The sequence below is a fragment of the Homo sapiens genome, chromosome 16 (assembly GCF_000001405.40).
Source record: "Homo sapiens chromosome 16, GRCh38.p14 Primary Assembly".
In the NCBI taxonomy this organism is placed as follows: Eukaryota; Metazoa; Chordata; class Mammalia; order Primates; family Hominidae; genus Homo; species Homo sapiens.
The window spans coordinates 83,589,480-83,606,266 of NC_000016.10; the positions used below are offsets into that span (position 1 = coordinate 83,589,480).

Genomic DNA, 16,787 nt, shown 5'->3' on the forward strand with positions numbered 1-16,787 from the left:
GTTTTCCAGGGTGGTCTCCCCATTTCAAGATCCTTAACAAAGCCTCTTGTGCCACCTAAGGTAAAATATTCACAGATTCCAGGAATTAGAACATGGCCATCTTTGATAGATGTTTTTCTGTGTGCCATAGAAGATACGAGAGCTTCTAGATCCAAAAGCCTGGTGGCATTTAGAGCTCACTTCCACTGTGCTCGATACATGAACCTGACATTGAGCATCTCACAGCATAATCACAGGACGGACGTGTGAAGGGAAAATTGCTATACAGTGTCATTATCTCAACCAAGAGAGAAACACTCACCGTGCCATACAGCCAGGGCTAATGCAGGGAAGGCAGGAGTGACTCTGGGAAGACAAACCTTCATGATGGAGGCAACCTTCAAGCAAGTGATTGTTTGATTATCACTTGCTTGAAGTGATTATCTTCCAAAGGATAAGTGATTGTTTCCTGGGGCTTAGGAGGTGGGGGCGGGAAATGTGCAGGGAGGGCAGAGGGTACAGCATAAGCCAAGCTGCAGAGATGCGGAGGAGTGAAAAAGCCTAAGAAGGTATGAATTACAAATAGCTCAGCTTTACAGAATATAACACTGAGTGAGGAGAACAAACAGATGAGGCCATGAAGAGTTTGTCTTTCATGCTTGAAAAACTCAGACATTATCCTGTAGCCACTGAAGGGTTTTAAGGAGAGTCCTTGGTCAGATGGTAGCTGGACAGTTCGCTCTGGCTGGCTTTGGGGTGGAGAGGGGCATAGAAGAAGGCAGGGGGACCAACCTGGAAGCTGTTGCATAAGTCAAGGAAGAAGAGATGGGGACTTGACATCATGTGCACACAGAGGTGGTGGAGAAAAGAGGACAGACTCGAGAGGAAGGGGAGGTAAAATCAGGAGCACTGGATGAGCAGTTGTTTGAGGTAAGAGAGAGGGAATTGCTACAGAGACTCCCAGGGGCCGGCTGGAGATGATCCCTCCGGGAAGAACGGCCAGGTTGTGGGGAAGATGGGTTCTGATATTGGCCCATGGAGGATAAGGGAGAGCATCTAGTGGAGACATCCATAACAAGATTGAAAGCAGGCGAGATGCTGTTTGGTGTCTTAGAGAGAGTCTGTTTTTTCTCGAAATGGACGTAAAAAAAAAGAAAGTTTCAAAGAGAACTTTTGGAAAACTATGATTTTCATTTTTCATTTAAATTGCATCATAAATGGGTGAGTTTTAAAGTAAAACATCTAAGGGTACATCTTGACCTGCATTGAGTCATACATTCATTCAGAACAATGCTAACCGAAGTGTGCCCCTAAATCGACGACATCAGCGTCTCCAAGAAACTTGTGAGAAATTCAGATGCTTTGGCCCTGCCCTGAACCTTCTGAATCATAAATGCTGCAGGTGGGCTGTCAATCTGTGTTTTAGTACACCCACCAGGGGATTCTTTTTTTTTTTTTTTTTTTTTTTTGAGAGGGAGTTTCGCTCTCGTTGCCCAGGCTGGAGTGCAGTGGCGTGATCTTAGCACACCGCAATCTCCACCTTCTGGTTTCAAGTGATCCTCCTGCCTCAGCCTCCCGAGTAGTTGGGATTACAGGCACCTGCCACCACACCCAGCTAATTTTTGTATGTTTAGTAGAGATGGGGGTTCACCAGGTTGGCCATGCTGGTCTTGAACTCCTGACTTCATGATCCACCTGCCTCTTCCTCCCAAAGTGCTGGGATTACAGGCATGAGCCACCGCACCCAGCTGGACAAGCACTTTCAAGAAGCAGTGACTCTGACTCTATGTCTTACGTACCTGCTATGTACCAGGCATAATGTTGCTATGTCAGGGCCCAGGTCTAGAAAACAAAAGCTAATGTGGCAAATAGTACTTGAGCATCTCAATTACTTTTTATTTTACTTCAGTGTTACAATCTGTACTTCCTTGTCTGAATCTAACAGATTAGCCTGTTCTGTTCTGCTCCTAACCAGCCATGTGCTCCTGGGATTCACTCTGTTTCCTCTCACTGTGAGTTCCTTGAAGGTAGGGCAGGACGAGAAGGCCTCGAAGGTACTTTTGAGAACTTGTGTCTCTTCACCTCACAAACCTTGACTCCAGGCACGCTGGTGGCCCTGTTGCAGCCTGATGTCTCCACTCTTATTCCCAGGCCCTTCTTCCTTCTCTGAATTCTCTCCCCTCACACCCATCCTTCAAAGCTCAGCTGCAGTCTTACATTAACCTGAAGCCACTGAAAAGCCACCGAAGCACTCCCAGTTAGTAGACAGCTAACTTAGCACAGGCTGCCTGCTGCCCTGGGGAGCCACTTATATATCTTTTATCTTCACCCAAGCCGTGGCTTCCTTGAAGGTCGAGAGCGTACTTTTTCTTGTCCCTTTGGTGTCCTGAACAGAACCAGAATCAGCCTTCCCTTCTTATTCAATGACTACTTTTAATAGAGTTTAGGGATTAAAGGTCTCCCACCTTCTTCCATATAATTTGACTTTCAGTCCAAGACACCATCTCTAATCCTATGGTAGGGTATGCCCTTCTGCAGGAATCACTGCTTAATCTCTTCCGGCCTCCACCTCTCCACCTATAATGTCTAAGTCAACTGTCCCCTCCTTTGTAATTCCACAGAACTCTGTGCTTACCCCATCTCATTGTGCTGAGCTCATCAGGGTGTTGGTCTCTCCCACGGGACTTGATTCCTGTTACTTCTTCGCACCATCCCGCACAATGCCTAGCACACAGTAAGTGCTCAATCAATGTCTGATGAATTAAATAAGCTCCATATAGCTTTCCTGAGCACCCCACATTCTGACCCCCTTCATGTAAACCTTAATTGGTATTAATACCATTCTGATAACACTTATCTCATCTGACCTTACGTACTTGCCTTTTGTTCATCTCTCTGGACCAGAAATGCACCAAAAGCAGAGTCTGTATCATTTATCACATCCTAGCAGTTATTTGAGCCTAATAGACACTAAATAAATGTTTCAGTGAACTCACACTGAATGTCAAGTATTTGCCACCTTGAGCCTACAGGAGATGCTTTTTCCAGGGGTTCTAGGAACGCCATTGGCAGTTTATTTACTGTAACTCATCAGTGGCAGCAGAAGATGCACACATTGCCTGGAAATGTTTTATTTGATTTTGGTGTCCCTCAACCGCAAATCTATCATTTAGGCTATTCCAGCCACATATGTCTAAGAGACAGTGTTTATTTCCCCTGCTGCTTCTCCACCCTGCCAGCTTTGTCGCAGCCAGTAAATCTGGAGAAATGAGCGCTGCCTTCTCCTTGCCCACCAGCCCCCAGCCACGAATGCAAAAATAAATAAATAAAAAATAAAAAACAGCAGGTGACAGCCAAGAATGTGAATGTTCACATTCGTACCAAGAGGTAAGGTGAAAAGAGGCCTAAAGACAAACACAAGTCAAACCAGGCTCACCCTGCTGCCTGGGAAGATGGAAGAACATCGCTCGACCTCTGCAGTGGGAATAAGGCACATTTTATGAGGATGTGTAAGCGGTTCCTGCTGGATTTATGGACTACCTATTCCCAGTGTTATGTGGCCAGAGTGGTTAAATCAAACTCCAGACAGACAACAACTCGTTCTGCTTCAGATAGTGTTTTCACCAATCTTTTGCAATATTTATAGACTAGGTGTCAGGTGCAGCCAGCCCGGGGAAGAATGTGGTCCCTGTTTAGGCTTCATATTGCAAGGACGCTTGTGATGCCCAGCTGATCGGGACAAAGCTAAAGAGGAAACGAATGAATGAATTCCATTACATCTTTGCTATGTAGCTCATGTTAATGTTTCTCATTAACGATACCTTAAATGTTAGACTAGAAAGGGATTTGCTAACAAAAATGCCTTCTTACAGCCTTCCTTGACTCCTAGAGCAGCATGTGTGTGCTGGAGCCCATTCTCACTGGCTCACAATAGCCAACTGGTGTCTCTGTTTCCAACTAAGTGCTTTTGGAGTGGAATCATCTGGGTAGCTTGAAATCAGCTATGGTAGGAGTAGTTAAACCACCAAAATTGACAACAGTACAAATCAGGAGAATCTGTTCTTAAACAGCTACAGGTATACCACTCTATTCATTATTTTTTATATATTATATATAATTGTATATTTATGTAATAGTGTATAAACATACAGTATATAAAACATGTTATTTGTCCTGTAATAATTGTAATCAATATTATGCAATAATATGTAATCATATTTATGTAATAGTGGGCTAATTGTGTTATAATATGACTAATTGTTACATAGCTATGATGTCCCAGGCAGTGAATTTTATCTCCCAGGCAGAGACATAAAGCCTCTAAACAAGAAAAGGCCCCTGATCTCAAGAAGCTCGGATTGTCATAGCCACGATAGCCACTAAACAAGTAATCAGTAAACAAGCACATTATAGACTGTGGTAGTGGTAGGTGCTGGGGAAAACGGTACTCATTATCTATTGCTGCATGAAAAATTGTCTCAAAACTTAGTGACTTGAGACAAGAAGCACTGATTATCTCACAGTTTCCCTGCTCAGGAATCTGGGCATTTCTTAGCTATACTCTGTGCTTAATGGGCACTCACAGAGCTACAAGCAATGTGTTCAGAATCTGCTGTCTTGCTGGAAGATTTGTCTAAGGAAGGCTCCACTTCCAAGTTCACTCAGTGGCTGTTGGCAGCATGGTTGGCAATTGCTTTTGGCTCTTCCTGAAGGCCACCCTCAGTTTCTTGTTACATCTTCGAAAGACTTCCCAAAAATTCTACTAAATAATAGCAGTAGCATCTCTCCAGCATTTACATATGCCAAGCTCTGTATTCAGCACTTTACCTCTTTTAATTCTCACGTATCCTATAAGGATTATTCTCCCCCACTTTACAGATGAGGAAATGGAGGCAGTGAGAACATAAGCAACTTGGCTGGGATCACTCAGCTACTAAGTCATGGAGCCAGGGTGATAATAATTGATCACATATTGATTGACTCCTTCTTAAATGTCAACCATCCTATTGTGCACCAAGGTCCCTGCCTTCGTGGAGCCTCTGTGCTGTGAATAATGACCATCAGCAAAGGAGCAGGAATTCACCTGGAGCAAGAACTAGAGGTGAAACATTCGATATGGAAAAAGTGGGGTACCATGGAAAGAAATTCGGTCTAGACAAACTGTAAAGAGAGATGTAGAGTGCAGTTCAAGACCAGGCGAGAGAGAGATGGGGTACTGTGTGGGTTAATGGGAAAACCTTTTTCCACATCACATCTATTTGTTGATTTTCCCCCCACAGCTACCACTATGCTTGTTATTAGTGATAAATGTTCTGTTAAATGCATACCTGTGTGGAAGTCATTGTAGCTGTGCAAAACGTCGAGGGTCTGGTGATGGATTAAGTGCCAGATTTAATGACATGGCTTGATTCTTTTTTCAAGATGAGATGTTTGCTTTTCAAATCAGTGTGATCAGTGAACCTGGCCTGTGTCTGTGGAGATTCACTCGAGGCTTTTTCTTGCAGACATACCATCTTGCTTTTGTTTCTAGAATATATATTAGCTGGTAGCTAGTTGACACCCAGGAGGAGACAGCAAATGCAATAGAAATGCATGACTGCAGAACTCAAACCAGGAGAGCAGCTTGACTCTCTTAGATATGTCTTACAAATCAGATAGCTTCAAATAAAATCAGAGGAGCCAATTTAAGTTTTCCAGTTTTGACACAGTGCATTTCTTCCTCCAAATAAAATTCTATCTCCTTGAGCTGCAGTTCCGCAAAGTATAAGTCATTCCCTGAGAATAAATGACTTTGCTTTGGAAATGCCACTGATATGCTCAGACCTTTGAGACATAATTTAGTTCAGGGAAACAGTAATATATCATCATTATCAATAATGAAAGTAAATCGCCCACCTTGTGTGCTGACTACTGGCTAGGTGTTGCAGCCAAAGGCATGGTCCTTGCCCTTGAAAACTTTGTCATCCACTTAGGGAGATAGTAAATGGGCATTCAAAATAAAGCAAAATGGGACACATAGCCTTCATATTAAACAAGGTAAGCTAAGCACAGTCATAAGCAGCCCTTAAACCTAAAAAATGGCTTATGTCTTGCTCACATCACAGTCTAAAGCAGGTCACCAAAGGGGCTTTGAGCTATATAGTCATTTGGAGATCCAGGTTTCTTCCTTTTGAGGAAATAGAAAGTGTGAGAGGTTACATGGGAGGTTTAAGAACCACACCAAGTACATAACTTCTGCTCACGTTCCACTGACCGCAATCAGCCACACAAGTCCATTTGACTGCAAGGACGCCTGAGCTGTACAGTCTAGCCCTATGCCCCTGGAACCCAAGGAAATAGGATCCAGTGAACATACAACATTGTTTTCACCACAAGTTCCTTTGCTTGCAAGTAACTGAAACTCATTCAGGCTGGTTTTGGTACCTAAAAGGAGCTCTTGAGTATACAGTGGAATGAGTTACAGAATCAACGAAAGCGTTGAAGTCAGGGGCCATCAAAGCTCCAGTCCTTGGCAGCCAAGCTGCTTCTTCCCGGCAGAGCAGCACCTTTTGCAAAATTCAGCTCAAAAGCTGTTTGGAGTTGCAGTTGATTACATTCGTCTTTCCTCTGAGCCTTGAACCAAAGAAACACAGAATCAGGTGAGGCCCAGGGAGAATACAACTTGATCTTGAGAATGGGGTTGACCTTGATAATGGGGCCCCCTTCTCACTGATGAGTTCACTCACCTAGTGACAGGGCAGCTGGACAAGTGAAAGTGAACCTGGACAAGTGAAGAGGCAGGTTGCCTTCCTCATGGGCAGAGAGAAGCACAAGGGTGGTGAGTTTCCTCCCAAAACATTCAAGGCAAAAATCCCTCTATTGGTCCTAGGAGTTCGGGGTTTACCCTACATTCCTGTTTTCCTGACTCTCAGTCCCACATTTCCTCTTTTCAGAATCCAGTTGTCCCAGCTTGAATTAGGGAGTTACCTGTGAATTTAGTCAATTCTTGGCAAGAGAGACAAACATGACAAGTGGCCACTGGGATCTCTTTCTCTGCATCAAAATTTCCTCCTGGAGAAAGGGCATCTGTGGGCTGGACACCTAAAGAGCATCTCTTCCAGCAGAGTAACAAATGCAGAGTGGCCAGCGAGGGATACAGAATTAAAAATACATGTGTATATTTCAAGTAAGAGTGACTCCGAGAGCTAGGAAATTAGGGGGTGACTTTCTGGAAAAGGCTCTGAGGATCGGGAAGTAGGTCAGAGGCAAGTGGAAGGTATTCTGATCATGTATGAGCAAGGGAGTTCATGTGGCATTTTCTCTAATTTTCAAGTGCAAACTGGGTGTTGTACATTCCAAAGGAGGTTACTTTCATTATCGGTTTTGGGGATTTTGTTACTGTTCTCCTTGTGAAAGCAATAATGTTCATTACAGAAAAATCCCCAAATCATAACAGGCCAATAAACTTTTTATATTAGAATTGCTTTTAAAAGTGAAAACTTGGGCAGGGCACGGTGTCTCATGCCTATAATCTCAGCACTTGGGGAGCCTGTGGTGGGAGGATCACTTGAGCCCAGGAGTTCAAGACCAGCCTGGGCAATACAGGGAGACCCTGTCTCTACAAAAAATACAAAAATTAGCCAGGTGTGGTGGCACATGCCTGTGGTCTTAGCTACTTGGGGTGCTAAGTTGGGAGGATCTCTTGAGCCTGGGAGGTCGAGGCTGCAGTGAGCTGTGATCATGCCACTGCACTCCAGCCTGGGTGACAGAGCAAGACCCTGACTCACACACACACACACACAAAAAGTAGAAACTTAGAAGCAACCCAAATGTTCATCCAGTAGGGATTGACTAAATAAATTATAGTGGATCTGTACATTGGACTATTAGACAGCTGTTAAAATGAACAGCTCTGTAAACACTGAGATAAAAGTGATATGGTAAAACAAATTGTGTCGCTATGTAAACAGTATTACTTTGATGAAATGTGTGTGTATATAAATGTGTATATTAAATATGTGGGTATTTAAAATGTACCTCCGTGTGTGTCCACTTGTATAGGAAAAAGGAGATAACTATCAATATTTACCTCTCACAGGTGGGGTTGGGCAAGGGTGGAGGAGAGTTCTTTGAAATGACTGTTTTATTTTTATGTTGCTTACAATAATTGGATATTACTTCAGTACTAAAAATATTTTTAAGGTCAGCCTTAAGTTTGCCAGAAAATTTAGACTTTTGAAACCTCATCACAAACTTTGCAGTTTATCTACATAACAGTCTAATTGATTCTCTACTAGGTTAATCAGTCTATTTCTCATTATAGGTGCAAAGTTTTATTTACTTCAGGAGATAGAAATTGGTTCATTTTCTAAAATTATTTATAAAATTTGTTGAACTACGAGAGTTATGCCAATGTATCCTTCCCTTGTGCTACCGTAAGAATTTGTACATACCTCTGCTAAGCTTTGATTTATTTTATTGCACTCATATGTGAATATGACTGTCCTCAACGCTAAACTTTGACCTCTTTGGAGAAAGAGACTTGTTTTTTGATCACTGTATCTCTAGTATCCAACACGACATTTAGACAAGAAGTTCATTAACTGCCAATTAAATAGATGCATAAACTAGTTAAAGAAAGAATTAGACCAGGTGCAGTGGCTCATGCCTATAATCACAGCACTTTGGGAGGCCAAGGTGGGCAAATTGCTTGAGCTAAGGAGTTCAGGACCAGCCTGGGCAACATGGAGAGACCCTGTCTCTACAAAATTACAAAAATTAGCTGGGTGTGGTGGCGTGTGATTATAGTCCCAGCTACTCAGGAGGCTGGAGTGAGAGGATTGTTTGAGCCAGGAAAATAGAGGCTGCAGTGAACCATGACCACATCACTGCACTCCAGCCTGAACGACAGAGTGAGACCCTGTCTCAAAATAAATAAATATTTTTAAATAGATAATTACAGTAACTTTCCCTGGCTACAAAAAATTTTCTGTTTAAGGGAAAGTATTAAAAGAGAAAACGATGTATTCATAAAATGATAGGAATACTGTTTTGAAGAACCTATTTTGATGCTATTGTATGGTGTGATAGCTCCTATGCTTTCTTGCTAATCAGAGAATTGATCATAGTGTTATTGCAATAGTTGCAATATTAGTCAAAACTGCCTTATTCCTACCTACGGAACATCTGAATCAAGTGTCTTGAGGAAAGCCAAAATGTATTAGCTCATAGAATTCACAAAATCTAAGGAATAAATTCTGGCTTCAAGGATGACAACTCATCCTTGAATGATGATTAACAACAACAACAACAAACTCCATCTCTACCTCTTAGTCTGTGTTTCCTTCATTCTCAGGTTGACTTTCTTTGTGTGGTTACAGGTGGCCACTACTAGCTCCAGATGGATGCCCTAACCACCTCCAAGTTTAACAGAAAGATAACTTCCTTTCCCTAAGCGTTCTGAAAGAACTAAAGGACAATGTCCTGGAATTGAATTTCACTCCCAGGGTGGACTCACTTAGGTTATGTCCTCATCGCATGATGATAGGAATGGAAAGCCCTGATTGGCCAGGCCTGAACCATATGACCATCCCTAGATCAGGAGTGGGGTCAGCCCCACCCACCTGAACTGTACCTGTACTGAGGGTGAGGAAGGGGTGATGCCCGAGGGAATTATAACATAGGTACCAGAAGAAGAGGGAGTGGGTATCAGGACAGTTAAGCAGCATACTCCTGCTATAGTTAGTGCTTGAGGCAGTCCTGTAGCACATCCCCACAGCAATCTGTACTGGAAGTTGAAGAATGAATGCTATGAGAACTTTATCTCCTTCTTATGCCACCATCATAGAGTCACCCTAGTCTCCCAATTTGCTTCACCGCGCAATGTCAGGAGCTGTCCTTTAGAGACCAGCCCTGTCTGAGATCAAAAGCTAAACATTCTCGTAGGACTGGTATAAAAGTTAGTAACATCCTCTTGGATAAAAACATTGAAATATGAATAAAAAGCCTGAAAACATTCATACTCTTTATCCTAGTAATTCCACATCTTGGGATCTATCAGTCAAAAACAAACCAAAAAAATTTTTAAAAAGCAGCCAAAATGTATATAAGCCTTCATGAATAAAGATGTTAATTGCACTGTTATTTAAAATTGTCAACATTTTGAAAACCACAAATAACCAAAAGGCCTAATAATAGAAGACAAGTAAATTATAAAATATACATATGATTATATTGTAGGCAACCCTTAAAATAACATCTAGGAATTATATTGGTAAATATTATATGTGAAAAATAATATGATATTTACCATAATCTCTTCAATATTGGGGGAGAATCCACATAATTTTTTGTCAGTAATTGTGTGCTTTCAAAAATAAGTAACAATGTTTTATGACAAAAGTGAAAGCGTTATGCAAGAAATTAGACCTGTGCTGTCCAGGGTAGTGGTTCACATGTTCAGAGACACTCGGGAAAGATTTTAAAGGTAGCCAATTTACTGGTTTCATATGGTCCAGCTGCAGAAATTATAGCCAATAGTACATGCAGTCCAGCTCGTCAGTGATGACAAGCAGAAAGCCACTTCCATTAGGCTCAAGTTTTCCAGCTTCAGCCTGAGAATAGATGGGATTTCAAGCATCTATACCGAGAGATGCCAACGAAACCAGCCAGGAGCAAAATTACCAGAATTCTTGAACCAGGCAGAACCAGGGCAGATGGCATCTCAAGCACCTTCGCAGACCAGCGCCGGCTGACCCAGCCAGAACTGGAACTGGGTACGGTGTCAATTCCACTTGTACTCAGCAGTCAGAGAACCGTGTGACCTTCGATCCTGGCGGAGCTGGAATTGAAACCGAAACATGAGGCGTAGAGCCATCACAGGAGCACACTAACTTCCCACTCATCACCGTGAATTGAAGTGGAGGGCCTTAACAAACCACCCAGCAGAACCAGGACTCCTTAAAATAGTAGCTCAGAAACCACTCAGAAGTTAAAGGAACAGCAATGAATGGTGTCCCTATGAGCAGACAGCCAGTTGCACTTCAAAATACTTAAAAGTTTTTGAGAGAGCTAGCGTTGAGCTATTGAAATTTACCATGTAAACTTAGGACTTCAGAAGAAAATTGGACATCCTCCATTGCTTTTTTGTTCCTTGCTTCCTGTGGTATTTCTTAATTATTGGTTGGTATAACCAGCTGTTTTTGAAGCTGTCATACTGGTAGGACTATTTATGTGATTGTAAACACCTATTATTTTTGTTACTAAAGGTAGTTCAACTCGGACTCTCTGTGTGATGATTAAGAAATCTGTCCAACGTGAGTTAAGCAAATAAGGGAAATTATTGCCTTCATTAGCTGAAAAGTTCACAGGCGGGTCTGGCTTCAGGAGTGGCATGATGAAGCGGCTCCAGTACAACCACTAAGAACCATTTCTTTTCTGAGATTCCAGTATAATTAATTCTCTTAGGATATTGCCTTTGTTCTTGGATGCAGGGTCTTCTTCTGCATTACCCCTCCTGTGGTCATGAGATGACTCCTCTAGCTCCCCCTGCCAAATGCTTCCAGGTCCACACCACAGGGAAACAGAACTTCCTTCACCTAACTGTCAAACACAGGGCCTGGACTTAACATTATATCACTGGAATAAGATGCACTGACTGACTTCTTCTAATTAGGACTCATTCCAAAAGTTCAATCGGTAGGAGATAGAGAAAGGCAATCCTAACCCAAACCACATGAGCAGAGAAGAAGTAAAGGATAGGTCCCCAAAGGAAATGCGGGGTGCTGCCTTACCAGATGAATGGTATGATTGTGGACCAATTCAAGCAGAAACCTACTACCAAAGATAATTTAAATATAGGGGCTGTTATTTACCAATGACTGCACTCTTCTTCATCTTAGGATCAGGGCTATTTGGCTAGTTGTTTTGAGTATATAAACATGATAGCCAAATCTTTGTCAAATATTGAGATGAAAAACACTTATGTGAAGAGAGAGAATAGTGCAATATTGCTTGTGTTAAGTTTATCAAATCATTATTGGATTAAATGCGTCTTCCACATGTGACAGCCTGTGCGACAAAAAAGACATGAAAGAAGTGTGGTATAAGTGACTCTAAACTTCAGTGGGGTTTCTTCCCCATCTGTAAAATGGGAACAATGATTGCAAGTTGAGCTGCTTGTTGAAAAGATTAACAAGGATTTCTATAAAGTGAGGTAATGCAATGCCTGCCTCATCAGATTTTCAGTAAATGTGAGTTCCTAAAGCTGCCATCTTTGTCCTAAGCTCATCATCAAAGGTAACCTCATTTTCAGATCAGCTTCCTGAGGTCTCTGAAATAGCAGATATGGATGTAAACATTAAAGGACAACGTAGGGGCCGGGCGTGGTGGCTCACACCTGTAATCCCAGCACTTTGGGAGGCTGAGGCAGGCAGATCACGAGGTCAGGAGTTCAAGACCAGCCTGACCAGCATGGTGATACCCTGTCCCTACTAAAAGTACAAATATTAGCCAGGCATGGTGATGGGCGCCTGTAATCCCAGCTACTCAGGAGGCTGAGGCAGGAGAATCGCTGGAACCCGGGAGGCGGAGGTTGCAGTGAGCCGAGATTGCGCCACTGTACTCTAGAGAGTGAGACTCTGTCTCAAAAAAAAAAAAAAAGAACAACAACAAAAAAAAAAAAAAAAAAAAAAAAAAAAAAAAAAAACCCAAAGGACAATGTATACCCAAGCCCAGGAAATGGAACATTCTGTGATATATCAAATGTCTCCCTAAAAAAGAACAGTAAATATATTGTCCCCATGGCAAACTCCAGTCTTTGAATAGTGACTGTCTTATATTGAAGAGATTCCAAAGGCACATTTATACACAATAGGTAAAAATGTTATCACTCTTTAAAGATGCCTACCCTAGATGGAGGAGGGGGAGAGACAGCTCCAGCAACACGCCTGCCACCTTTCCAAAGCAGTAACCCAAATCTAAATGTCATATTATTTCTTTGTGCTTGTGCTTTGTAGACTCTGGAAAATCCCAAGTATGAACTGATCATCGAGGCTCAAGATATGGCTGGACTGGATGTTGGATTAACAGGCACGGCCACAGCCACGATCATGATCGATGACAAAAATGATCACTCACCAAAATTCACCAAGAAAGAGGTAAACCCCTGTGCCAAACACCAACCACCACTGTGGTCACAGCTACAATTACTGATTGATGTTAATTCACGTACCACAGCACCTGCTGGCCCCCCTTTCAAAATCAAAATACTCCTTTGTGGGAGAGACGATGGTGTTTTGCTGGAATTCTTTCTCACATTTTTATTTTGTGTTTGTGTGTGAGGCTAAAATACTAGAGCACGGTGAGAACAAGAGCACTGAATCTTGTTAAAGTCCATAAGAAAATAACTTTTAATGCCCAAGTGCCATTTTCATAGTTTTATTGCTGTTATTTAGCAGTGAGTTATGAGAGTCCCACTGTGATTTTAGCATAACAATAACTATTTTTTTCCAGCAAGTGCAGATTGAGAGGCCAGACGGAACAGTAGCAAGGAGGTAAAGCAGATTTCCTAGTCCATAACAATGTGGCCCAGGAGCTTATAAATAACAACAAAGTTAGCTCATCCAGGAGAGCCATTATTCATTCTCAGTCCCTGTGCTTTTATGATTATGGATCATGGTTGTTGTTTCCCATTTATTCCAAGGGAGCGATGTTTGGGGAAGGGCTGAGTACACAAGATCACATTCAGTTGCTAAATTTGTACCCAAACCAGGAAGCCATTTGCACTAAGCACATTCTGATGGAAATGTGCTAAGATTGTGGCTTCTTTAGGGGCCTGGGCCAGGGCATGGATTTGATGCCCTTCTTACTGACCAAGTGAAGAATATGGAATAGGTACGATGGCCCCTGACTTTTGCAGAGTCTTTACTGTATCTACCATGGTGTCTCCCCCTGAGATCTGTTGCCTGATTTGACTGTGTGAGCCTGGCTTTACCATTTTACAAATGAGCTTACTGTGATGCTCAGAGAATCCAGAGAACAAGCTCCAAGGTCATGGACAGAAAAAGTGGCAGAAACAGGAAGTGAACCAGGTTCCTGTGATTCAAAAGCTGCAGTCCTAACTGTGATGCTGTGCTTTCCTCATCTGCCATCAATGCTTCCAACCTCCAGGGTGTTTGGAGAAAAAAACCTATATAGGGACCTGCAGTTGCCCCACTGCTCTCTGGAGGAATCTCAAGGCTACCCAGGGTGGCTTGAGACAGATGGATCCTCTCAACCCCCGAGTTCCCCAATGGCCTCTGTATTAGTTCATTCTCACACTGCTATAAAGAACTACCTAAGACTGGGTAATTTACAAAGAAAAGAGGTTTAATTGGCTCATGATTCTGCAAGCTGTACAGGGATCCTGGCTGGGGAGACCTCAGGAAACATTCAGTCATGGCAGAAGGCAAAAGAGGAAGCCAGCACATCTTCACATGGAAGAGTAGGAGAGAGAGAGCAAAGGGGAAGGTGCCACACACTTTTAAGCAACCAGATCTCATGAGAATTTTATCATGAGACAGCACTAGGGGGGTGGGTGCTAAACTATTAGAAAGCACTCCCGTGATCCAGTCACCTCCCACCAGGCCCCAACTACAACACTGGGAATTATAATTCAACATGAGATTTGGGTGGGGATGCAGAACCAAGCCACATCAGCCTCTTCACCTCGGCATCCCCCTGCATGGCTCACTCAGGAGGTAGACGTCCCCCTTTCTCCCTGTGGTGTCTTGGGCACTCAGGATTCCAACCTCAAAACAGCAAAGTCCACGGGAGCTTGATTTGCTCCATTCTCTGACTTCCCATGGCAGGGTTCCTCTAGCTGCTAATACAGACTGCTCACTCTTGCCATGGTTCCAAACTGGCATTTCAAGAACACCAGTTCTAATTAGTTCCAAACAATTCTAATTCACTTCCAAGAAATTAGTCACAAAAATTACACCACCGGGGTGGGGATAGGAATGAAAAAAATATACTTCAGGGTCAAGTAGATGTGGGAAACACTGAATTGATTACTTTTAAATGGTTTATTTAACTGCAGGATTTCTGATTAACTTTAAAATGCTTTGTGTTTCTCTAACAGGGTTAGGTATGGTCTGTGGGGTTTCTCATTCTTCTTTGGCCTGGGGGCTTTTTTTTCTAGGCTACCTTATATGGCTTATGGAGCTGGTGTTTCATGGAATGTTCACTGGGGGATTTTTGTTTATCTTTATAATTTCTTTTCAACCTATTTCAAAATAAAAACTCAGAGCACATTGTAATATTCAATATAAACTTAACGATGGGAACAAAAATAGGATAACCCCAACCCAAAATATGAAGATGAATCTGTGTTACCAGCTGTGTGAGATTAATTAGTTACTTCAATGCCACTGTGAATTTGGGTCCTGTGACTTAGGAAAAAAAGAAATCTTTGCTCAGTTGTGGACTAAACACTGTGAATGACAGACTATTGTTTTTAATGTCATTGAATCCAAGGAATAATTTAACATGGACTCTAAAGGTTAGCTACCATTCCACAATATCATATTGATTTCAAAATATCATATTGTAAACACTAAAAGCATACAATGTTATCTGTCAATCTTAAAAAATAAATTTTGAAAAAAGAGACACTGAGTAGCATAAGGAAAATGTATCTGCCTGTAAATACCAGCAAAAGCACACACATTTTCTTCAAATGGAGATTAGACAATGAGTTTGAGATTCCCAAAAGGCAGAGCTGATACCTAAACTCATAAAGAGAGATAAGTAATCAGATGAAAGGAAGTGATAACAAGTACACTAGACTCTCATTTGGATATTAAATGTCCCAAAGGAGTCTTTGCCCAATGTTTGATAATTTAAATTCATGATTAAACTTTCTGTCGTGTTCCTGAAAGGCTGATGTTCTTTGTTGAAGGGGATTCATACACTTTGGATAGTAACACTGCTGGGGGTAATGTGATTGAGAAGTAAGGAGGGGGCGCTGGAGCCGGAATTGGGTTCACATCCCACTGACCAGCCATGTGGTGGGAGCATGTTAAGTGCTCTACATCCCAGTCTCTTCACCTGTTAACGGGCTGATCGCAGAGCCCACCTCATTAGGTCATTGTGAATGAGCTAATGACTAAAAGAACCTAGATAGTGCCTGTCGCCCAGTATTTTCTAAAGTATAGAGATGAGGACAGTGGTGATGACACCGCTGATGAGGATGGTGGGAGGAAGGCCATGATGAAGAAGAAGATTGTGATGAGAAAGATATTATTATGACAGTGATGTTTCCAAAATGTCAGAGGCCAAATTGACATTCTTATCGAAAGGGCCACCTCCCCTCCAGGTTAAAAGGCTACTCTTTTCCTTTAAAGTGACATATGAATCTGCTCAAGCACTTCAAAATACATGGTTAGGACCCTAGAGTTCTAGGGGAGAAGCAATTCTGCAGGAGAGGTGGCAGAATCTGTAAAATGCATCACTATGAGATCAGGCCTCGGGACAAAAGCGAGAGAGACCAAGAGAAACCTGCTGGGGAGAGGAGAGCTCCTAATGAGGACTGGCTCAGATGCAGTGGCCTCTAGGATATGGAAGAGGTAGGAAAACAGGATGCCCTAGAAACAGAGAGGAAAGATGGGGCTTATGATCTTGAAGTTGAAACAAATTTTAGAGATGAAAATCAAGGTTTAGTCATTCCAAAATAGAAATGGTGATCATTTGGAGTTGAGGATGTCCAGAAAGCTCTCTAAGGAGATGTTGTCCTAAGTAAATTTTTTCATATCTTAGGACATTTCGAAGTTGATAAGAATACATGGTTT

The 16,787-nt window shown here is 42.2% G+C and overlaps 1 protein-coding gene across 5 annotated transcripts in view; it reads left to right on the top strand.

The window, feature by feature from the left end:
- CDH13 (cadherin 13) overlaps window positions 1–16,787 on the top strand; it is a 1,173,672-nt gene that overhangs the window by 962,511 nt on the left and 194,374 nt on the right. For all 5 annotated transcript variants that reach the window (NM_001220488.2, NM_001257.5, NM_001220489.2 and 2 more), the window contains one exon: window positions 12,975–13,115. In NM_001220488.2, the coding sequence (NP_001207417.1) occupies window positions 12,975–13,115 (141 nt within the window). The remainder of the gene's footprint in view (window positions 1–12,974; window positions 13,116–16,787) is intronic.